The 26,301-nt window shown below is 34.3% G+C and overlaps 1 protein-coding gene across 2 annotated transcripts in view, besides 2 other annotated features; it reads right to left on the bottom strand.

The window, feature by feature from the left end:
- The window catches only part of KCND2 (potassium voltage-gated channel subfamily D member 2), a 477,430-nt gene that overhangs the window by 333,189 nt on the left and 117,940 nt on the right, over nucleotides 1-26,301 (bottom strand). The window lies entirely within an intron of this gene.
- Nucleotides 21,075-21,134: an enhancer, noted in NCBI's record as "active region_26554". NCBI's record gives its function as "activates an Ori minimal core promoter by ATAC-STARR-seq in GM12878 lymphoblastoid cells {active_cell/tissue: GM12878}" and the evidence as "EXISTENCE:reporter gene assay evidence [ECO:0000049][PMID:35858748]".
- Nucleotides 21,195-21,284: an enhancer, noted in NCBI's record as "active region_26553". NCBI's record gives its function as "activates an Ori minimal core promoter by ATAC-STARR-seq in GM12878 lymphoblastoid cells {active_cell/tissue: GM12878}" and the evidence as "EXISTENCE:reporter gene assay evidence [ECO:0000049][PMID:35858748]".

Raw genomic sequence — 26,301 nt, 5'->3', positions numbered from 1 at the left:
TAGGCTGGCTGCAGTAGCTCACACCTGTAATCCCAGCACTTTGGGAGACTGAGGCAGGTGGATCACTTGAGGTCAGGAGTTTTGAGACCAGCCTGGCCAACATGGTGAAGCCCCATCGCTACTAAAAATACAAAAATTAGCTGGGCATGGTGGTGCATGCCTGTAGTCCCAGCTACCTGGGAGGCTGAGGCAGGAGAACTGCTTGAGCCCTGGAGGCAGAGGTTGCAGTGAGCTGAGATTGCGCCACTGCACTCCAACCTGGGCAACAGAGCGAGACTCTGCCTCAAAGGAAAAACAAGGCTTTCTAAATACCTGCATCATGTATAACTGATTATAATTATTTTTAAAGTACTTGCTTTTTTTTTTTTTTTGCTAGTCTATGAGTCCCTCCAGAGAGAGTTTCTTTCCCTTGTATCTTGCATATGATAAGTACTTGATAAACATTCAGTCAGTTGAAATGAGGGTTGTACTTTTCTTTGAAAGCATAATTTTCCTTATTTTAAAAGATGTGGCTGTCTTCTCTGGTTGTGAGAGCAATACACTGGGTCAGGCATATAGTAGGCACTCAGTAAATGTTTACTGAATTGAACTGATTGTTTGCCATGGAATTTTATCATTGGATCAATACACACTTACTTGTTAAACCAGCTTTTATGAAAAACATATATGTAATACTATGAAAGTCAATTGCAGGAGACTAATCTTATCTGGAATGTCAAGGGAGATTGCTATGAAGAAGTGATTTTTGAGCTATGTAAAAATGATAGCTAAGGGTGGTGGCAATGGAGCTATGTGTGTGTGAGTAGGGGTGCCCTTGAAGTAGAGGCAAAAATATGTGCAAAGGCTCTGAGGCAGATATAGGTTTGGCACATTAAACAGCTGATTAAAGGCCAATGTAGCTGGAGAACGAAGTGGGGCAGAATGGTTTTAAGAAATAAACAGGTTAGTAATAATATTAGCTTTTCAAAACTCTCTCTGGCTGTTATATATGTATAAAAAAAGAGCTCTAAGAGAAGATATGGGCAGGTTACAGAGAACATTATTGATACTATTGAAGCAATGTTGGCAAGAGAAGATAGATGGCAGCTGTACTTGGGTGTCATAATGGTAGAAATGTGGAGAAACAGTTACTCAGATATCTCTGGAGGTAAAATATATCAATATGGCTTGCTAGTGGATTGGATAAAGGGCAAAAGAAACAAAGACGTTCAGAATGACTTCTCGGTTTCTGATTTTGTAAACGGATGGATGCCTGTCCCTTTCTTTAAGAATGGAACACACAAGGAAGGTAGGGGTGTAGTATTGTGTAGCTTTGGACTTAGCTGAATTTGATGTGCTTCTGAACATCTGTGACAATATCTAGAAGATAAAGAATATATTCCTCTGAATGTCAGGAGAGAACTGGACTGGAGATATAATCATGGGTCACTGGCATGAATGACAGGTTTTGGCCTAATGCCATTCATCAATTTAGTTGGTCTGGAGAAGACTACAGAATGAAAAGGAAAGGAGAGCCCAGACTGAGCCTAGAAGATCCCAACATTCAACAGAAAAGTAGAGAAAAATGGGCAAGCAAAGGCCTTGTTAAAATGGGTGCAGAGAGGTAGGAGCAGAACAAAAATTTACCTTGGTATAGAAAAAAATAAAACAGTGTTGCAAGAAGGAAGTTGTGGTAAAGTAGGCAGAATACCCAAAAACTTTTATTGGATTTAATAACTCTGGGATAAGGAGTGGATAGTGCAGATGCAGGCGGGGGTATGACAGCACCACTTTAAGAAAATTGCTTTGAAGAGCTCCCTGTAACTTTATTTGTCTCCCATATAAAATTGAAAGCTTTTACAAGAACTTCTCTTTTTTGGTGTTGTTTTTGTTTTTGTTCAGGCCAGGTCATTTTCAGAATGAAGGGAGTAATAGGGACTTGGAGTTTTGTAGAGAATAGAGCAAGCTTGAAATAATCTTTTCAGAGGGTAGGAGAGACAAAACATAGTATGATTACATGGCAATGTTGATAGTCCTGTCAAAGCTAACAAATATAAAGTAGTTATAGTGGTAGTAGTTTAATGTACATTGTTATTGTTACTAGCTAAGCTACGCTGCACTGACATAGGACAGAAAACACAGATAGTTGACTTCATTGGGGGTTGATGATTTTCTTGATTGGAAGGCCAGAACTAATGGGGCAAGGGAAATTGGGATATTGACATGTACTTATTGACATGATGATCCATGTAATCTAAGCTGGTTAAGAATTGAAAAGAAGGCAGAAGGGAAGGGTGAGAGAAGCTAATGAATCAGGAAAGGCCCATGATGGTAGTATGAAAGCACCAGATGACATGATGAAGTGGAAGAATAATTAAATGTGGATATTTCAACAATCAAACTAAGGGATGAAGAGAGGCCGATGACAATGGAATCAAGGAAAAAGTGGTGACAACAAAATGAAAGAATGATCGTATGGGTGAGGGTACTTCAAGAATCCAACTTGTGCTACAAACTAAAATGCTAAATTAGTGATTTGCGGAGATGACATGACATTTGATAAGTACTGAGCATGGCTGTGAGACTGCCTGAAATGTAGCAGAGAAGCTTATGAGAGATAAGATCAAAATGTGATACAAGGTTCTAGTAATTACTCTATCATAAGACCATTCAGTTAAACATGCACCAATAATTATGGAAGGAATTGCATTGCAGAGGAAAACTGAAATACGTATAATCAATAAATGTTAATTAAATGATCCATAATAACAAAATAGTCAAATGGGAGTAATGGTAATTGGACAATTGGTAATTACTTTTTGACAGTTGACTGAAAATTTTTTGGAACAATCTCAAATGGTTTTTGATCCAGGTGAAAAGTAGGATAATCCACTTAAACTCTTTTCAAATATAGAGTATCATAAATTTTCTGCCTCTGGAATCACACTCTCTATACAAATTAACTATTATAGTGCATCTTTTTTGTCACTGTTTGTTTTAAAGCATGGCACACTTATACCATTCTCAAAATGAAAAAAGCATCAATAATGATAAAGTGAGATGAAATTATCCATGAGTAGAAGGTTTTATTTGTATTTTCTGTTTTCTTTTTCTAGCACTAGAGACTTAGAACCTCATCATCAGACTAAACATAAGAGGAAAAAAATGAACTTCAGTTTAATAGATTAACTTATTGTACATGTTCTGAAAAAAAAAAAAGAAAATTGCCTTAGGAAATATCTGAAACATAATCAATTGGTTTAAGGACTAAAACAGTGCCATACATGCTAATGCCATAAAAGCATCTCGGAAACATTGATTCATCTAAGCCTTCCATAGAAAAAAAAAATTCCTAGTAAGCCAATGTTAATCAGCCAACAAGAAATATTTATTTAAAATATGCAGTTAGGAAGTGTCTACTAACAAGCAGTAACATAAATTTCTCTTTTCCAATCAACTACAAAATCTTTTTTTGGTGTTTTTTTATAAACTGTAGTACAATGCTGCTTTAGAATTTTAAGGACAATTTGCATGAAAAGGGATTAATTTGTTACTAAGCTATAATAAAAAATATATAATCTGGTTGTTCACATGTGTTATTCTGAAAAGTTTGAGATTATTCTTTCTCTAGATTTATGTATGTGTATACATAAGTATGTATGCATATGTACATATATTTTGAACACAAATATTGACATTATATATCAAAAATTAGAAAAATTAACCACACATTTTTTTCTAATAATATACAAAGGTAGACATAGGTGAACAAATTAACCCAGAAGAAATTATAGTTTAGTTAGTATTTGATGACTCTGCTGAAAAATAATTTTAGTTAAAAAATAATTTATCTAAATGAAATATTAATATTTGGTACTGTAGATAATCTAACCATAGTCTTCACTAATTCTTCAATGTTTTATTATGCTAAAATAGTTCCTTATAATTTCAATGGATTGCTTAGTGGATTTCTATTAATTAGCCACTATCAATTATATCAATGTTATGAATACTGAATCTTCTTTTAAATGTCTTACTTCTTAAATAAACATTCTTCATAATTACAGTATTGGGAAGGTGGTGCTAGTAGTCACAATATCTACTTAACACATATAATATCAAAATTCTACTGCAAGCAACTGCCACATTTTCATTAGTTAAGATTTCAACAAAACTAACTAAAAGCTGAGAATTTGTGTTTAACATGTGAACACAAGAACAAGTGATCTGGAGTAAAGTGATCTGCCAGTAAGGGAGTGCTGGCAAAGCTTCCTGGAAGCTGTAGACTTTAAAGGGCTGCTGCTTTAGCGTGGCCTAAAAAATCTTAAAATGGAAGCATTAGGAGTTTGGGCTGGTGTTCCAGAATAACATTCTACCAGAAAGCAAAACTGATGAAATTTCCTGAGAAAATTAACAGCTCCCAAACTGTGTGGAGAAAGCATTCTGGAATATATTTCAAACACTACAGCTTCAGTGAATGTGTAGCCTTACTAAAAGCTAGCAATACAAAAAGTCTTGATGACCGCACAGGGTGGGAAGCTCAGGGTGAGAGGAAAGTCAGCCAGACAATTATTTTCAGGCTGAAAGGAAAAAAGCAGAAACAGAAAAGGAAAACATATGGAGGAACAAGAGGACTGATGTAATACAATATATGTAATTTTTAAAGGAGTAAGAAAGGTGGAAATAATGAATTTGAGTCCAAATACAAAAGTAAAGTATTGGAAACAGATTAATTGCCAGTTTCATAAAGTATAGTGATATTCTTAAGCTCTCTGCAATACATATGAAAAGGAAATGGCACAAGACCTTTACAATGCAGGAACAGAACTGAGACTCTTAAGAGTAAGATTGAGAATAACCCAATCATAAGACAACCATTCTGAATTTTCAAGAGAGGAACCTGTGTGAAGCTTATATTAATGCAATAACTCTGAATTTATTTTGCATTTGTTTGTTTGATTTAAATGTGTAACTTCTCAGTGACTCAGTTATAAAGTTTAGCTATAATCCAATTAAGCTATTATAAATCAGTCCCTTTATTGTTTATGAGAAAATTGAACAATGCTAGGGAAGCCTTCTTTTTAAGATACTTTTGGAGCAGATGGAACAAAAGTAAAAAATAAAAGGTAGTACAATATTGTTTGAAGTGAATATATATTAATGAAAGCTTACCTATCTGACCATCTGGTTGCTAGATGGTGCTTAGCCAGGGATAAATACATCCACATATACATCTTGAAAGATGCAATTAGGTACATGAGTTGCAAAAGTCCTATCTAGGTAAACTGAGAGGAAACCCATCTAGTCAAAAGAGCTAAGACTCACAAGGCCTAGGCACTGATTACTATTTCCATAATATTAAAAAATGTACTATATTTCCAATACCCAATTTCTTCATCTGTAAAATAATAAGTAACATAGCTGACAGATTACATGATGCTCAAGAATGTACTGTGAAAGTTTTGGAGTAAAAAACAAATATTAGTTGTTATGTTCTTTCTAGTATATTTTCATATACTTTCTGCATATTGGTACTCATCCTTCCTCTTCTTACAAAGTTTTTAAATTATGTATTTCCTTATATTTCCCCCACATATACACATAGTCACTCAAAGCGTAGATCTGAGTGCCCTGATATCAGGCTCTCATTATCTATTTTCCAATTAATTTTCCTAATTTGATAGAAAACTATAGTTATAAAGGAAATATTTCTTCTTTTAAACTTTTGTATCATTGTTAAATGTGAACTGAAATGTATTGAGGCCACCAAAATCTGGATCTGAAGTAAAGTTCTAGAAAAAAAGTCATGACAAAAGAATAGGTTGAACTAGTGACCAGGTATCAAACAAAGTAAAAATGAAAAAAAAAATGACATTTCCTCATGGGGTCTATATAAATGATCTTTAAGGATAGTGGACAACTGAAAATTTAAATTAAAAAACACCACTTATGGTAGCATCTAAAAACATGAAATGTATAGAGATAAATTATTAAAACACTCAAGATTTTTACATTGAAAAAGACAAAACATTGCTGTAAGAATGTAAAGAAGACTTTTGCACATTGATTTTGAATCCTGAGACTTTGCTGAAGTTGCTTATCAGCTTAAGGAGATTTTGGGCTGAGACGATGGGGTTTTCTGAATATACAATCATGTCTTCTGTAAACAGGGACAATTTGACTTCCTCTTTTCCTAACTTGGAACCAACCCGAATGTCCATCATTGATAATCTGGATTAAGAAAATGTGGCACATATACACCATGGAATGCTATGCAGCCATAAAAAAGGATGAGTTCATGTCCTCTGTAGGGACATGGATGAAGCTGGAAACCATCATTTGGAGCAAACTATTACAAGGACAGAAAACCAGACACTACATGTTATTACTCATAGGTGGGAATTGAACAGTGAGAAGACTTGGATACAGGATGGGGAACATCACACACTAGGGCCTGTTGTGGGGTAGGGGGAGGGGGGTGGGAGAGCATTAGGAGATATACCTAATGTAAATGATGAGTTAATGGGTGCAGTACACCAATATGGCACATGTATACATATGTAACAAACCTGCACGTTGTGCTTATGTATCCTAGAACTTAAAGTATAATAAGAAAAAGAATTAAAGAAGACATAAATAAATGTAGAGATATACCATATTCGTGGATTAGACGACACACTATTATGAAGATACTACTATTGGTGATCTACATATTTAATAAAATCTCAATTAAAATTTCAACATATTTTTATAGAAATTGACAAACTGATTCTAAAATTTACATGGACCCAAAGAACCTATAATAGCCAAAAAAGAATTTTAAACAATAAGAACATAATTAGAGAAATTACATTATTTCATTTAAAGACATAACATAATGCTACATTGTAAAAATAGTGTGATGTTGTCATAAAGACAGGCATATAGACTGATGGAAAACAATACAGAGTTTGAAAATTGACCAATATACATTTGGTCAGTTGATTTTCAACAAATGGCAAATGTATGCTTAATAAAAAAAGATGATCTTTTCAACAACTGTCACTACAATAGTTGGATGTAATATCCATGTGCAAAAAGGAATAATAATAAACCTTGACTTTTTATCTCATATCACATAAAAATAACTATAAATGAAGTATAAACTTAAACATAAGAGCCAAGATCAAAAAATTATGAAAAACATAGATTTATGTGACTTTGGATAAGGTAAACACTTCCAAAATAAGATTAAAAAGCAAAAATTTTGAAACAAAAAATGATAAACTGTAGTTGATCAAAATTTTTAAATTTTGTCTTAGGAAGACTTTGTTAAGAAGATGAAAAGCAAGCCACAGATGGAGAAAATATTTGCAGAACATGTATTAGATAAAGAACAAGAACTTGTATCTAGAATACATGAAGAACTCATACAACTGAATAATTATAAGGCAAACAACCCAATCAAATAAATGGTCAAAAGATTAAACATAATTTTGACCAAAAAAAAAGTATGGCCAAAAAACATGAAAAGATGCTTACATTTTTTAATCATAAGAGAAACACACATTAAAACCACAATGAAAGATCACTACACGTCCTTTAGACTCAAAGTACAAAAGTTGACCACAGCAAATTTGGGCAAGGATGTTACAGCAACTAGACTCTCATACATTGTTGGCAGAAATGCAAAATGCGGCAAAAAATTTGGGAAAGTGGTTTGGCACCTTCTTATAGAGTTAAACATTTGTATATTATCTAGCAATCTCAAACAGATATTTTATGAAGAAAAATATGAATATGTCTACAAAAATGTTTATCAATGTTCATAGAGCCATAGTATATAACATAATAGCCAAATGATCATCAGCTAGTAAATTGATAAACAATCTGAGGTGAATATTACATTGTATCTTTTTTCATATGAAGGAATAGGGGCACACAGTGGTTAAATATCTTTTCCAAAGTTCTTTACCAAGAAAGGGATGATGCTATAAAGCCAACTAAGATCTCTCTGACACCAACGCCTTGTTCCACTATGCCACATCATTTCCCAGCAGCATTCTGTTTTCCAAATTGGAATAAATCACATATGTTTCCTTGGTCTTATTAAAATATGTAGCAATGACCCTGAGACTTACATAGAAAGAGCAGCATGTGCATTTGCTCTTAGCGTGACCTTCCAGCCTCCCTCCTTCTTAAGAAACATGTACAGAGTAATACTTGACATATCATTGTCTCTTTTTTTCTAATACCTTTTTCTCCTTAAGGTATTTTTGCGCTCATATCATGTAATTTAAATACTCCACATATTGCATATTCAAGTCACCGTGTTTGGTAGATAGTGGTCTTCAAATATGTACTATGGAATTATTTGAAGAAACAAATCTATATAATAATGTCAAGAAGGAGGGAAAAAGAGTACCCTGTCTCTGATTCTGTCCGTCAATAAGTAAGAACATTGGATTCTGTGTGTATGTGTGTGTATGTGCACATGTGTGTGTGTCTGTTGGGGGGCAGGGGAGTGTTGATCACAATGACTCCTGAGGGAACAATGGAAGTCCCATTTTGAATTGAACATTAATAGAGCATACGACAACTTCCAAAACACCATTTGCATAATTCGAGTCTTAAACTTTTTGTTGTGTATTTCTTTTTCTCAGATCATACCCTTGCTGTTCCTCCTGTCTTGAGTATATGGTCTGTGTAGGCATTCTCATCATTTCCCCTGTCTTTACATGTTATATGTTGTGGTATAGTAGTGACTTACCAATCTTTACCTCTAGCTATAATAAAATCTTGCTCCATGGCTCGAGATATATGTCTGAATTATCTCTTAGGTAGATCCCCCTGTATGTACCATTAGGACCTCAAACTTGAAAGGACAACAATTTAATCTTACTGTTCGTCTTCCTGCACTGTTCCTAACCCACATCTCATTCTGCTCCTCTTTTGTTCTCCAAAATTGATTAGTGATGATATTTTTCATTTAGTATTTCGAGCTACAAACTCAACATGTATTCTCAATTCTTCCTTCTCCTTCGCATCCCTTCAATCATCATGGGTTTATAATTATATTCCCTAAATATTTTTGGACTAGATATTTTCTCTCCATTTTACCTGACTCAGCCTTGGTACAGGCCCCCATTTCTTAAACATGTGTTGCAAGAGCAAGAGCCTCTTCGCTTGTCACCAGAATAACTTTTTGAAATTATAAATCTGATCATGATTTTCTTCCTAGAATCATTCCTTGACTCCTCTTCACCTACACAATAAAGTGCAAACTTTTCAGTAAAACATCTACATCTCTCCAGCCTCATCTTTCATCTCTTAACTCTTCATATAGTATGTTTGAGAAATGTAGAATTATTTCATATTTCTGGAAGACATGAAGGCATTTATGTTTTTATATGTTAATGTTTTTATAATATGATTACAATTTTATAAGGTTTCTATATTATATTATTATATTTTTATATTATAAAGTTTTTATACTACATAATAACTGAATATTTACATAGAAGTTATTACATACCAGACTGTTAACATGCTTTATATGCATTATAAACTTTATAGTAACCATCTGGAGTTGGTCTTAGTTTGTCCATTTTACAGGTGAAAAAACTGAGGCACAGAAAGGAGAGTATATTATCCAATACCACATAGCTGGTTAGTGATGGAACCAAAATTCAAGCATCAGTGGTCTGGATCCAAAGTCCATGTGCCTAAACACTACAGTATGCCTGCCTCTCCCTTTGGAGTCTTATTATTGCATGCATGAAGTGCTGTCACACTTTTGGGGGGTTTGTTTATAACTACACTATGAGCTCTTTCAAGATAATGTGTACTTCTTATGTATCTCTACATTCTTACTCTCTAATAAACTGTTGGCACACAATAGAGCCAATAAAACTTCTTCACCTTCCTGCTCAACAGCGACAAAAAAAACAGTATTTCCTAAGTTTTGTTCTATGTACACATCTACGCTGTGGGATGATTCACGGGAAAAACATTTCACATTCAAATGTGTTTGGGGGTTCATCTGGTCTCTGTCTTCCTCTTGGAGTTTCACAATGCACATTAATACAACCATAGCGCCATGAAGGTGTATTATAGGAAATTTTTTTTTTCATTGAGAATTTCCCAAATATATTTGAACTTCAAAATCTCACTCACGCCCTTACTGCATCCCCGAGGAATAGCTATCACATCTTATGAAACTACTGTTTTGAAGACTGTGCTCTGTGAAATTCTGATTTAAGAGATAAAGACAAAATCACATAGCCAGGCATTCAAAAGTCATCATATCCTGACTCTAAGCTAATTTTCTAGTTTTTCTACTCTATACAGATACCCTTCATATAGCCATGCTCATTCTTATCTTAAAAACGATCATTTTACTTTCTTATCCCTCTGCCTTAGCTGTGGGCATTTCTCACACTTCTTAATCCTAGAATGACTTTCCTGCCCTGTTTCCATTCTTCATTTCTCAGCTCAATTCCTAACTTTGCATTAATGTGTATCTCACCTCTCCAGTAAAGCAATCTTTTCTTGTGAACTCCTTTAGCAATTATTGCCTACACCATTAATTTTGCTATTAATCAGCTATTGCTGTGTTACATATTTCTATTGTTGACAAGAAAGGTTATTTAAATTATTAGTGTGCATGTGTTTTGCTTTTGAAAAAAAGTCATTAAATTCTATGACCTGAATTCTCCCCATGTCTACCCAGGGCAGTATTGGAAGCACACCCTAAAAGCCTGATATTTTGTTGTTCCCTCTAAACCAGCAGAAGAGATTTGCTAAAATCACAAGCTTCACTGAATATTAATGCAGTGAAAGAAAATTTCATATGATTGAGAGTTTACATCTTTTATGTTGTACAAACCAGGTTGATTTTGAGATTACTAGAAGAAAAGTGTGTATTTTAAATACACCACTTTGAATTTTATTTGAATTAATGATCCTTTTGATGGGGAAAATTTTTTTCAAGAAGTAAAAGTAAATTGTGTCCATTTTATTTAACGATTGGTAGGCCATAGTTATTCACCAGATATCATATGCCTCTCTGGCTTCCCTGGGAAAAAATAAATATATTACATTAAGATATTTGTTTGTGATGAGAACTGAATTCTAAAGTAGTTCCTTTATACCACCTTCATAAGACAAATGCACCTTCCTGAAAACACATAACTGAGAAATGAAAGCTACAAACAAATGAATTTTCCTTTTTAAAAAAATCACTAACCAATACCTACTATACCATGACAGAAACCAATAAACACTCAATGCAATTTATAGTTTCACTAGCATATGGAATTTTCCCAGGAGCTTTCCTGGTGTCTAAACCAATACCACAAAATGTATTGAATACTCCTACCTTCATTCTACACTTAATATCTGTCATGATTTTACCTTTAGAAAGACAAATTAGTCCTATGATGACAAGTAGTTCAGTAACCACCTGACAAACAAGAAGGTTTTTAAAAATATCTGTTCTCTTAATTTTGATTTTGATGTGATATCTATAGTTATAAATTTTGCAGATATAACCTTATAACTGTGTGCATGTGAATGATATCTTTTAGTGCTTATTTACCCATTTTTACTTGAAACATTTATGGAAATATACATGGAAATGTGTTATCTCTCTAACATCATGGAAAAATTATGTTGTATTTTAAACAAGTCATCAGAATAAGACATGATCTTTCACTAAGATGTGTTTTCCATAACTCTTTCTTGTTTCTAAGCTTCATTTGTATCAGTATCAATCCCCACTATTCAGTCCATCTGGACCTGTGGCACTATCAGTCACTCCTGAAGAAATGTCAGGAGAAGACATTAGAAACTCAAGTGGGATTCACCACATTAGATATCACAGTGACAGGCTTTGTAAAGTTGGCTTGAACTAGCACATGGTAAATGTTAGCTTTAAAATTGAAAATGACGAATGATGGACTGGACTTAATTTAACACAACCTTTATTACTTGCATTGGCTTTTAAAAGACTAAACCTGTACTGGACATTTTTAATTCTGGCCCCTTTGAAAAAAAATGTAGATCTTTTGCTTCCTTAAGATAATTCATAAAATATAAATGGAAGTACTTAAATCACAAATCTGACAATTTTTCTTCATTATCTTGTTAACTGCAAATAAACAACAGCATCCAGACTTTGTTAAATTCATTCCCAAAGGGATTTTCTATAGAGTCAAATGTAACTTTGGAGTGACTGAATCTACTTGTGTATGGTAATTATATTATCTATCTTTACATATATAAAATGAGGTGCCTGATTTTATCTGCAATGCCCATTATGATACAGGGCATTTGTTATTTGCTCCATCAATATTTGTGAAAGAGAAGAAAGGGAAGGAAGGAGGAGGAGCTACAAAAGACAAATTCACAAAGGTCCCCCCCCAAAAATCAGTGCTAATCAAAGAGAATCCTAGAATTTTCATCCTCTATCACACATATCAAAAATGAATCTAAGAAAGGTTAAGAGTAACATAGGTTATTACTGGCAAAGCTGGGTTTAGAACCCTAGCCTGAATCACAGGCTCATGCCCTGATAGAAGTTTGCCTTCCACGGGTATCAGGACTAACAGGAAACAAGCATTTCCCTGGCCTAATGTTATCTGTGTAGTTTTTCTTTCTTTTTTCCTGCAAATCTATGAATTTTTCTCATTTTCCTTGCTTTACAGTATTTCCTCATCTTTTAAACATGTTTAGATAATCCAACAAGCTATAAACAGCTTTTGTAAAAATAAAGAAATGTGACATTAAGAGATGTCACAAATGTAGAGATGTTCAGAATATGCTGTATTCAACCAGTAATGCTGCAAAGGTTGGAAAAAATGACATGTACTAATGAAACCTATGGCACTAATGAGAGGGTCTCGTGTCACACAGTATCATAAAATCTTCCCCAAGGTTCATTATTAAACCATGTTGATGATGTCATTTTTAGTAAATTCAGGAGTGACTCATTCCTGGCTGACAGGTAAGTACAGATACTGTTAAGTTACCTCTAAAGCCCTGTCAGTAAACTTGTCAGAAAATAAAACAGAATGTCATTATTAGTAAAACAAGAAAGCCCAAACTCTCTAGTTTTTTTGTCTTAATAAACTGAAATTTTATGTGTGGTTTCTGCTGAAATGTTAATTTCCAAGCATAGTTTTAATGAATATGCTTTACAGAAAAAAAAATCATGTTTGTATTTCACAATAAAAATTCTGAAAATGATTTTCTTCACATTAGTCTCAATGTGCAAAAATACCTTGAGATTCTTTTAAAAAAATCTTGTTATTTTAATTTTTTTTATAGGCAGAAGAAGAATTAAATTTCTATTTCACTAAACAAAAAACAGTCATTGTTTATATCTGGAAAAAACATTTTAAAATGTCACTCTGATCAATAAAATTAGACATATGTGTTGTTATATAAATGTATTTTCTTCCCCAAAATTATTTACTTGTATTTCATGTTGTTTTAATTAAATTAAAAATTTGAATGTGAAATTGTTTTCAATTATAAGTCTTACGTTAAAAAAAAAAATCACCTGGCATGGTGGCTCATGCCAGTAATCCCAGTACTTTGGGAGGCCTAGGCAGGTGGATCATTTGAGGTCAGAAGTTTGAGACCAGCCTGACCACATGATGAGACCCTGCCTCTTTTAAAAAGACCAAAAAAAAAAAAAAAAAAATTAGCCGGGCCTGGTAGCCATCGCCTGTAATTCCAGCTACCAGGAGGCTGAGGCAGGAGAATTGCTTGAACACGGGAGGCAGAGGTTGCAGTAAGCCATGATCGCACCACTTTACCCCAGCCTGGGTGACCGAGGGAGACTCTGTCTATAAAAGAAAAAAAAAAAAAACATGAATAATAGGGTGATTTGACTAAATTTCTGGGCCAATCTGTAGCTGCCATCTCTTCAGACATCTTCTTAGCTGGCAGAGGGAGAAGAGTATCCTCTTCTCTCAGTCACAAATTCTCTCTTTTAGGAACTTGGAATTGGGATTAAGATATTATAATTTGGTTTGGGTTAATCCCTGGAAGGGAGAATTTGTCAACTCTTGGGAGCTTGGGAGCTTTGGCTAAGTCATCTTTACATATGGACAATGCAGGAGAGAAAGCCAGACTGTGGAAAGCAAAAACGTTTAAAGTTCAGACACATTGTTATGTAAGTTCAGTATCTTCTGTATTTCCAGTTATGCTTCCCAAGTTTACTTATTACATACCAGTCCCATTATACATTCTTGGCTTAAAGGATTGAATATCTATTCTGTCACTCAACAGTAATAATATAAGGAGATTTTAAAAGAAGATGTTTAATCTTCATTAAGATTTTAACCTTATCTACTGCAAGCTCCCTTGGTCTAATCATCTATTCAAAATATGTAGATTATGTAAGCAAACTATGTCAAAAAGATAATATAAAATTAAATATTTGCAGGTTCATTTTAAGTCCCTGGGAACATTTTTAAAAGTACACTGGAATTTATTATCAAAGTTCTTCCTGTAAGAAACAAAATGAATCATCTTTAGAGGGAAATGAAAAATTTCACTCTCAGGTACAGAAGCATGTGACTAATACTCTGAAAATAGCAACTAGCTTGGCAATAACCAAAGAAAGAAACTACTGCAACATTAATCCACATAGTGTAACTGACTTGATACTGCCTCCTTCAATATCTTTCATATCTTAAGATAATATCCACTATCGCCTGCTTCAACTGAGAAAAAAAAGTTAAAAAAATTAAAAACAACAACACTTAGGTCAGAAAATAAATGTTTATCGTTTTCAAAAGCTGGAATGCATTCAGTTACTACAATCATTCCGTTGTACTCCCCGTTCTTTGTTTTCTTAGCATCCTTTTTTGTGGGGGAAGGGATGCACATGGGAAGCTTCCTTAATTTAAGTTCCTTTCATCTGAAGATTTCAAAAGCTTTGCTGATGGCTATTATTTACAGTAGCTGAGTAAATGGGAGCACAGAGCCAATGGGAAGCTATAACTATTCTATAAATGAAATACAAAGCATTAGAATCTTGTTAAAACAAGTCAAGATGTAAAATGTCTTAGGCATTCTGCTTCATTCTGAACTCATTTTCCGTTTGTTAAAGCAATTCACCATTTTGTCACCCTTTTCTTACATTCTTATAACAATAACAATTTTGGTTACTTATTCAGAAATATTGAGCCATCGGGCCCTAATTTTGTTTTTAGAAATTAAGCCCAGCTGATGTACTACCAATGAGGATATACTTAAAAAGAGTGGTGGGGTATGTATAACAGTATGACATGCAATTTCAATGTGCTTTAGGATATAAGTTATTCAGAGAGAAAGAAAGGATAGAAAAATAAGTCTTAGACTCAAAATTGATGGAAAACTGAATACAGGAAAGTGCTACTATAGGAAAGGGATAGAATAACAAAGCAAATCTACAACAAGATAATTTTGGACAGAAGGCTACTAAGACAACAGATGAGGAGAAGAGTTGTGTCAGAGGCAGAAATGTGTGGCTAAAGATGGGGGGAAGAGGACTGACGCCTTATAAACACAGTAATATTTCTAATAATGAAATATCTATCAAAGCTTTTGAAAGCCACAGCTCCCATACCTGGTCAATCATCAAAATCACCTAAATAGCTCATATATATGGATTCCCACTGTGTGCTCCCTAGAAATACTGATTTAGTAGAACTGGCTCAGAGTCCATAAATTTGTACAGTATTTTTAAAAGGTTTTATGGTGAATTAGAAAGTATAAATGTTTTAGATGTAACTTTCCACAATGGGCAGTACCTCAAAAGCATATCTAACTCTGGGAACAGCACATACTTCCCTAGTTCCCATTTACTAACATGAAAAAGGCAGCTTAAAATAGGAACTGAAAAAAGACAGGTTTGTCTTGAGATTAGATGTCACACTCAGGCCGTTTTTTGATGTCAGTACAGCTGCATGGTCTGTATCTTGAGATGCTACCGTGCTATCTGTCCTAGATTTTTTGCTCCCTGCTTTTCTCTCAGTTTGAACCATGGGATAGTGACACCAAATGCAGTCCAATTGGAACACTGGATCCATAGGCTGTCCTGTAATCTGTCCATATTACCAAATTTGTCTTTTACCTTCTACTCATGCTGACCTCACAAATCTAAGAGGCACAGAATCAGAGAAGTTACCAGAGTGCCCCATGGTCACTTTAGGTCTTCTTCTTCTTTTTTTTTTTTAATAGTACATGCAGTGCTCATTTAATTTGACCCTCTTTATTCACAATCAATTAACACTTAATTGCCCAAAGATTTGCTAAAGGTTATCTGAATCAAGAAGTTTTCTTGATCTCATTAGTGTTATTTATATCAATATTTTTAAAGAGTGATCTTTGCTCCAAATGAGAAACACTGGTGTCCTTGTTAGATGCACAGTCACAGACTGCATAGCCTACTGAATTAGAATCTATGTGTGCAGGAGTTAGATATCTGCATTTTAAAATGAAGTTCTGCACATAACTTCTATGCACATTAAAGTTTGAGGATTGTTGGTAAACACAGTGGTAGTTTAATTGATTAAATAATTATTTACTTTAATTGATTAAATAATTATTTACTTTATTAATTGATTTCACAAACAATTTGTTGCTTTCTAGGAGCCAGTCATTTAACAGGCTATGGGAGTATAAAGACAGTTTGAAAAAAGTGTATTACCTTCCAGTGGGAAAGACAGACAATCAATAGATACACATGGAAACGTGTTACTTTCAGTTCTGGTGATTCTGAAAAGTTGTTTGATAGCTGAGTAACTTTAGTGACATGACTTTGCTTTATTGGAGTATGGTTGTTTGCTGTTTAGTTTATAGTGAAAAAAAGTCATAAAATACATTTTTTAAAATTTTCTCCAAGGAGCCTAAAGTACTCCTCCTTATTGTAGAACCCTTTTGCATTCAGATATTTAAATATGGCATATGTGTTAATATACAAATTGTTGTGTTCAAGTGTAACCTAAAAAGTCAAAACAAAAGAGTCATGTTAATAGTCAAAATGCTTTGACCCCTATTTTTGCTGCTGTTCCGTAAGGCATTATAACATGTTTTGAAATAATATAATTGAGTTTTGGTGTTTCATGGACACAATGTCACTGAAATTTTAATTTATAAAATTAGTTAGAGGCCGGGTGCGGTGGCTCATGCCTGTAATCCCAGCACTTTGGGAGGCTAAGGCAAGAGAATCACATGAGGTCAGGAGTTTGAGACCAGCCTGGGCAACATGGTCAAACTCTGTCTCTGCTAAAAATATGAAAATTTGTCAGGCGTGGTGGCAGGCACCTGTACTTCCAGCTACTCAGGAGGCTGAGGCAGGAGAATTGCTTGAACCTGGGAGGCCAAGGTTATAGTGAGCCGAGATCACACCACTGCATTCCAGCCAGGGTGACACAAGGAGATTCTGTTTCAAATGAATAAATAAATAAATAAATAAATAAATAAATAAATAAGGTAAAAATAAAATTAGCTAGGGTTAAATTATTGGATAAATATATATGAAAATTATTACGTGAAGAATAACATTATAAAAAACAAATCTTTGAAGCATCTACACATTATTTATTGTTAACTATTTCCAAATGTTTAAGTGGAGTTTTTGGAAACATGGGAAATTTTAATACAATGATCACAATACTATATAGAGAGAAGTTAAAGGTTTTATATCAGATTACATAAATGACAGGATAGCTAACATTTTTTATTTTTAAGTAGTAAAAGTAAAACCTATATTTTCTCAAATGCAAGATGCCCTTTGTTTTTTTCCTCTAATGTTTTTTTCTCTATGTTTTTTTCTCTTATGTAATGTAAGAACCATGAATACACCATAAACTCTGATGACAGAGTCTGATCCCATGTTGTCAGGGAGACGATATAATGTGATGAATGCTATAATAGTTATCACTGAGCCAAATACGCTGTTACAACTACCAATCATTAAATATCATATTAAATATAAAATATTTAAAAATATTATGCTTCTACTATATAGTATATACAATAGCCAACACTAAAGGGAATACAAGATGAATAAAGGCCTTATGTCCTGTAAGCTGATGAGACAAAGACATACGTATTATAATTTAAGATAATGTAAAGTGGGTGTTAAGAGGAAGTACAAGCAAAGAGCGCAAAAGGTGAGATTGGCTTCAGCTGGAGTGATTTAAAAAAGGCTTTATGGAGGGGAGAGAACTGGGCAGCGTAACAAGCTGGTTGGTTTATCAGCTTCTCTTCATTTTCACCACGTCTAAGACATGGCCTCTATCCTATGACCTACTCTAACAGTTTCCCTATTGTTTTCTTGCCACCAGTTTCTCCTCTACTTTAGTCCATTAAGGGTACTTTCCTTGTACAAACATTTTGTCACTCCTTTATTGAAAAACTTTTTCTCACTTTTTGCACAAATTACTGAACTTCTTAGCAAGGTGTGGGTGACTCCACATTCAAGGTAGACACAAAACATACTTCTGACTACCACCTCATTTCATTAAAAACAAAACAAATCAAACAAAAACACCTTTTACTGTTTGCATTGTATATCTTTGCATTTTGACAAATTCCTACTTACACTAGTAGAGCTCGATCAAATACTATTTTTTCTGTAAAGCCTCCACAAACTTCCCCACTCACTCCCTCTAGAGACACTTCATTCAGGCATCTCTTGCAGCCATTTTATAGAAGTGAATCTGTTTTATGTAAACATATTCTGCACAGACACAAAGTTGAGATAATGGCCTACTGGTCTTTGTATCCTAGTCATCTAGCACAGTGCCTGGAAAATAGTAGGTGCTCAGTAAATAATTTTTTAAAAAGGTGAATGAATTAATGATCATAGAAGAGAAGCTTCATATGATTTCCAAGATAATTCTCAATATATATTTTTGCTATTTTTCATTTACAAGATGTATTAGTTCTTATTTTCTATTATCACTTCTATGAGGTCATTGTCATCTTACTGTTAAATATATATATATGTGTGTGTGTGTGTGTGTATATATGTATATACATATAAAATCTCCTAGTATTGCCATGCTATGCATTCAGAACGTAGCCAACTTTACAACCAGCTAGCTGAAATTTAATTAACTAAAACATATTTGGCTGGAAAAAGAGCAAATATATATATATATATATATATATATATATATATATATATATACACACACACACACACACACACACTTATATACACACACATATAGTTATGTATATGTACTTTTTTTCAAAATTGTACAAGTCCTTGGAAACAGCAATCAATTTTTAGGAATTTAGGAATTTGCTAACAGTAAATAATTTAAATTGTTTAACTCTATATTTACTACACAAATATATTTAAATAGGTAGAAAAGTAAAACATCTGAAATATCTTACCAATATGACAATATAGAAAAATATTTAATCATATGGGGAACAATGTTAATTATATATTGTTAAGTAAACTGTAGGTTACAAAATTCATCTAACAGAAATGCTAAATCTACAACCTGAATATACACTTCCTGTCGCTTTTTACTGGACTTTGGCCTTGATCATCAAGTAAACAGAGCAACAAAAATTATGATTCAGCTGTTAATCAATACATTTTAAAGAAATTGAAGAATATTATTAAACTTAGCAAAATGTAGAAGTGACTTATAATACTACAATTGAGAACTTTAAAGTCAATAACTTTGGGAGGCTCATCATACATGCAGAATAAAGAAACAATCCTTATGATTTCTAACTTTTTAATCCATACCTTGTAGTTGTGGCCAAAAGACCTTAACTATATCAGTGGAGTAAGTGAAAGTAGCATCAACTACCGACCAGATAAGTGGAGAATTTGTTGATATTTGTAATCATACCTACCAGGGACTGTAGAAATATTCTTGGGTATATTTTGCTTCTTACTGAAATGACATTTTCTATTTTGATGAATGAGTTTAATGGAAGACACCAAACTGAACTTGATTTGTGCTAATATTAGTTGTTTAAATGGACAATCATATTGGCTGGTCCATAGTCTCTTTCATCCTAGTGCAGGGTCAAGGTAATACTTTAGTATTTATTCTACAGTGCAGGTGTCTGTTCATAGATATAGGGCCTTCTTTCCTAGGATCGTGTAGATAAACTAAGAAAGAAAATCAGATAAGCAATGCAGGAACAACTTGGGAAGATTAACTTAAAGCAAATTGTAAATAATTAAAAATAGATAGCTTGACTTCCCAAAGCCTAGAGGGACATTTTATCAGCTTAAATACTGATAAAATAAGACAGTAAAGTCATTTAGCAAGCTTCAAGTCATTCAATAAAATAACAACAACAAAAACCCACTGGTGTCTGTTCTGTGGAAATATATGGCCATAATGTCTGTGGTATGTAAGGCAATAACTTGGAGAGTTCTTGCTTTTACCATTGTCTTTACCTAGGACCAATGGCTCACATTTCTTAAACACACAGAAATCATTCAGTTTATAACATTAGGACTCACATGTGCACACACACACACACATTTAAACCTAGGAGTACTGAAATCTTATCCTCTCTAACTGAAATGGCTCTAAGTCCCTCTGTTTTCCAACGTTAGTAGAAACTCACAAATAATAATTAATGTATCCAATTAAAATATAAACCCAGTGAAAAATTCAAGTCAGTTAACCAATCTCCTATTAAAAAAGAAACCAAAGAATAAAGTCTTAATATTAATGTCGAAATATAACAATTACAACTAACCTAAAAGAGTAGATTATTTGGAGTTGGTCAAGGCTAAATTAGGAGTGTGGCATGGACATTTAACATAAAATATGCCTTTTGACCCTGAGGATGTAAATCAGGAAACTCTAAGCTGAGACATGCCAGTCGATTCTGTGAAGTTCTACAGAGTCTCACATATTGTCCTCAATGATTAAAAGGAAAACCAACAGATCTTACAATTAATTTGACCAACACAGGATATATGTTTAGGTCAAAGGGTGAATATTGGGTTTGACATTGACCAACTTGGCTGTCTCCATGAATCAAATTAAACAAGCAATTGCCAGCAAGTGGCCATATCAGGCCCTGGACTTGTACCTATTAATCTGACTTTATTTAAAAGTTCAGCTATTAAATTTGTGTAATCTATCTATACAAAATATGGCTGAACTGTTGGAATTTTCTCTGTTGGATGTCTAAGAGAACACAAAATGTAGTCCCAGGTAAAGTCCCAGGTAAAACAGGCAGTTTACTTGCATGAGGACGAGGTAGGAGGCCCATAGGAGTCTTTTTCTGGTCACCAACACCTTGATAAAAGCAGGATCTGGTCAAAATAGCATGCAGTGAAGAGGCCAGCAACCCCAGGAGACTGTGAGGAAAGCAACCTCCAGTGTCCTCACAGCTCATTAACATAATGACACTCCCACCAGCCTCATGACAGTTTACTAATGCCATGGCAATGGGCCATGGTAACAGCCTGGAAGTTACCTTATATGATTCTGGAAACTCCCCACCATTTTCCAGAAAGTTCAAAATAATCTGCCTCTTACTTAGCATATAATTAGAAGTGGGTATAAATACACGTGCCAACAGCCCTGGCACACTGCCTATGAGTTAGTCCTGCTCCACAAGAAGCAGTACCCGTTCAATAACAATTGCTTCTCTGATCACCAGATCACCCTTGAATTATCTCCTGGTGAAGCCAAGAACTCTCCCAGGCTAGGCCCCAATTTTGTATAAAATTTGAGTGACTGTAGTAAGAGAAGGAAAACTGCAATTTCCATGTAATTGGAAAAATTACTTCTTCAATACTGTAAGCCAATGTTAATTTTCCTACCTTGAAAATGAAATAGGAATAAAACCAGAACCATCAATCTAGCTAACATTTATTTATACTGAGTTATACTGAGTTTGAAATTAAATAATAGCTATGGAAAGCTGCCCCAAATGTGTACTACATACAATGTAAAATTGTAACTAAAGAACAGGAAGTACTCTTTTAGAGTTTACCATACAATGACGATTTTGAAAAGACACAAAACAGTTATGTTATTGAAGAAACAATGTTACCTCCAATGATATACAAAACTGGGAATTTCACAGAATAAACTTCTTCATGGCTAAATATCCAGCATATAAATGTTTGGGGAGTTATCATCATAGGAGAGTTTCAATGACAGGGACTCTAAACTTGGTATCCTTAATTTGAATGGTATAGAGTGGTATAGAGTAGCATGTTTCTGACAACCAAATAGCCAGAGAAGTATGTTTTATTCCCAGAAAAATTAAAAGAAACTTATTTTTTTCTCACTCATCCAATGTACATGAACAGTCACTTGATTTAGGTGGTTTAAGTGGTTACTTGACTACAGGAAGTTCTGATAGTCACTACTGAAACAGCCTTTGCAAACATTATGACACTGAGAGAAATCTAACATGACTGATTCCATCTTACTTCTAGTCTCACAGGCTGACTACTCTCCCTTGCTTATTCCTGGGTGTAGGGCTAGCTAACCATGGGAGAAATTTAGTTTATTGTTTAGCTCTGAAGACACAATGATAATAGTCCCTCCCTAAAACTGATTTCCTCCTTGTTCTGGAGCTGAAACTGCTTTGTAAAACTAATGAAAGGCCACAAGATTAGGATTATGGGAGGGTCCTGAAGGTCTGCTAAAATATAGGCCTAGTTTCTATAATCCCTTTCTACTCAGTAACGTGGCCAGAGGTCACAAGATTCGTGAGTTCCCCAATTGCTCCTATAGGTAACATCACTATTATAGAACCTAAAAGTGGTCTTTTGAGATATTTTTCAGGCTGACCCCATCAGGACTCACGACTCAACTAGTCTTGTGGCCCCTCCAGCAAGAGGTAGACTTAGTGCAAACAGACCCTTTTCCACACCCCTATGATTGCATCCCCAGCCAATCTGCAACACCTATTTCCTAGTTTTCTACCCACCAAACTATACTTGAAAAACCCGAACTTCTGAGCCTTCAGGAAGACTGATTTGAGTAATAACTCCATCTTCTATGTGGCCAGCCTTGTATCAATTAAACTCTTTACTTCAATGATGCGGTCTCAGTGAATTGATTTTGTCTATGCAGCAGGCAGGAAGAACCCATCGGATGATTACACTACAAGCCCCTCCCATCTCTGATTATTTTTAACATAAATTCATTATGGTACATACATACTTAAAACCATAATTTACGGCCTGAAAAAGACAGTAAGTTATCTGCCTGATATAATTTATCACATTTTTCTCTCTCTTATGATATGTTTTGTGAAATAGTTAAAAAATTACTTCCAAAAATGTCATCATTTTTAAGCCTATGGTGGTTAGAGAATTTTGTCATTGGATTGCTACACACAATAGAACTGCAAATATTTTTCTCAGAATATGTTTTAGAATCTAAAAAACAAAAGTAACAGGTTTTATTCACCATGTTGCTTGATGGCATTATCTAGAGACAGTTCTGGGAGAAATTAAGAAAATCATTACATGAACCAATTTGTAACCTAAACACCAAGACAAACTGATCAGCCTGAAATCTCTAAATTTTAAATCTTCATATATTTCCATAATCAGCTAGCACAGGATGGATGGTGCTTAAATAAATCATAGTTTACCAAGGATACATGGGTATACAATGAAGAGGGAAGAAAGCACCTACAACATTGTAGACGTCACATAAAACTTTAAAACAGTTCACACACATTTCACCTGCTAAAGAACAATGAGAAGTGAATGCATTTCTAGATGACACTTACCAAAAAGTTATCTTTCCAAAGGTATCTAAGTTTAAGAGTTAAAAGTAAAGAGTTTAGAATGATTTTCCATGGATTATTAGAAAGAAGGAACTAACATTAATGGTGCTCCCGATGAGTTTGGTATTGTGCTAGGCAATATACATATTGGTACGATTTATTTCTCCCAACAAGTCTGACAGTTATCTACAATTATTCCTATTTTTAAAAATACATGTAGACTAAGATTCACAGAAATTAAATATTGTCCCAAGGTCACACAGTTTGTAAATGCCATTGGATAAAAAAACAAACTCAACGTCATTCATTCAAAAGGTCTAAATATTTTGGACAGTTTAGAAAACATAAGAAGAGACAGTGAGGCTATCAAATTTTATTAACTTTTATTTTTCACATTGTGTCAAACATCCTTATTACAATGTTTGAAGAAAAAGAGTGGAAACAATGTAATATAATAATAAGCGCATGCTATTTTAACTGATACATGTATTGTTTTAAATATATATTCTTAATGCTAGACTCTACAGTGTACACATAGTGATTGGTGGATAGTTTAGGGATAATAGTGTTCTTAAATTTTGTGATATTGGTATTTGTCACTTTTACCATCCTAAATATATTAATGTTAGATGAAAATAATTAGCCCTGTGCCTGGAAACTAACTACTTATAGCACAAACATGGCGGCAGCAAGAGATGGCTTATGGCAGTTCTGGGGGAGCAGTTCTGGATTAGCAAAAGAATCACTCCAGTAAGGAAACAAATTTGAATTCATTAACACAGGCTTGGTCGTGAAAAACGTACTTTTACATAAAATGGTCTAGAGAAAAAGTAAATATAAGGCCAAAATTATTCATAACATTCAAATAACAAATCTCAAAACTATTAGTAGGTCTAAATTTAAAGAAAAGTAAGGTTTTTATTCTTAGAAGAAGATAATAAACAAAGAACTTTTGTAAAATCAACTTTCTTCATCACAGAACTAAAAAAAAAAACAAAAAAAACTACTTTAAATTTTATATGGAATCAAAAAGAGCCTGCATAGCCAAGACAATCCTAAACAAAAAGAAAGAAGTGTGAGGCATCATGTTACCTGACTTCAAACTATACTACAAGGTTACAGTAACCAAAACGGCATGATACTGGTACCAAAAAAGATACATAGACCAATGGGACAGAACAGAGGCCTCGGAAATAACACCACACATCTACAACCATCTGATCTTCAACAAACCTGACAAAAACAAGCAATGTGGAAAAGATCTCCTATTCATTAAAGGGTGCTGGGAAAACTGGCTAGCCATATGCAGAAAATTGAAACTGGACCCCTTCCTTACATCTTATACAAAAATTAACTCAAGATGGATTAAAGACTTAAATGTAAAACCTAAAATTATAAAAACCATAGAAGAAAACCTAGGCAATATCATTCAGGATACGCACGGGCAAAGATTGCATGAATAAAACACCAAAAGCAATTGCAACAAAAGCCAAAATTGACAAATGAGATCTAATTAAACTAAAGAGCTTCTTCTCAGCAAAAGAAACTACCATCAGAGTGTACAGGCAACCGACAGAATGGGAGAAACTTTTCACAATCTAACCATCTGACAAAGGGCTAATATCCAGAATCTGCAAAAAACTTAAACAAATTTACAAGAAAAAAACAAACAACCACATCAAAAAGTGGGCAAACGATATGAACAGACACTTCTCAAAAGAAGACATTTATGTGGCCAACAAACATGAAAAAAAAGCTCATCATCACTGGTCATTAGAGAAATTCAAATCAAAACCACAGTGAGATACCATCTCACACCAGTTAGAATGGTGATCATTCAAAAGTCTGGAAACAACAGATGCTGACGAGGTTGCGGAGAAATAGGGACTCTTTCACACTGTTGGTGGGAGTATAAATTAGTTCAACCATTGTGGAAGACAGTGTGGCAATTTCTCAAGGATCTAGAACCAGAAATACCATTTGACCCAGCACTCCCCTTACTGGGTATATACCCAGAAGATTATAAATCATTCTGCTATAAAGACACATGCACACATACGTTTATTGCAGCACTATTTACAACAGCCAAGACTTGGAACCAACCCAAATTCCCATCAATGATAGACTGGATAAAGCAAGTGTGGCACATATACACCAAGGAATCTGTGCAGCCATAAGAAAGAATGAGTTCGTGTCCTTTGCACGGACATGGAAGAAGCTGGAAATCATCATCCTCAGGAAACTAACACAGGAACAGAAAACCAAACACTGCATGTTCTCACTCATTAGTGGGAGTTGAACAATGAGAGCACATGTACACAGGGAGGGGAACATCACATACCAGGGCCTGTTGGGCAGTGGAGGCAAAGGGGAAGGAGAGCTTTAGGACATATACCTAATCATGCGGGGCTTAAAACCTAGATGATGTGTAGATAGGTGCAGCAAACCACCATGGCACATATATACCTATGTAACTAACCTGCCCCATTCAGCACATGTATCCCAGAACTTAAAGTAAAATTTAAAAAAATTTAAAAGTGCAATAAAAAAACTTTCTGTTTGCCATAACCAAGTTTTTGACTAAGT

The sequence above is a fragment of the Homo sapiens genome, chromosome 7, assembly GCF_000001405.40.
Source record: "Homo sapiens chromosome 7, GRCh38.p14 Primary Assembly".
Lineage (NCBI taxonomy): Eukaryota > Metazoa > Chordata > Mammalia > Primates > Hominidae > Homo > Homo sapiens.
The sequence above is the reverse complement of the archived record's forward strand: the minus strand, read 5'-3'. Positions and strand labels throughout refer to the sequence as shown.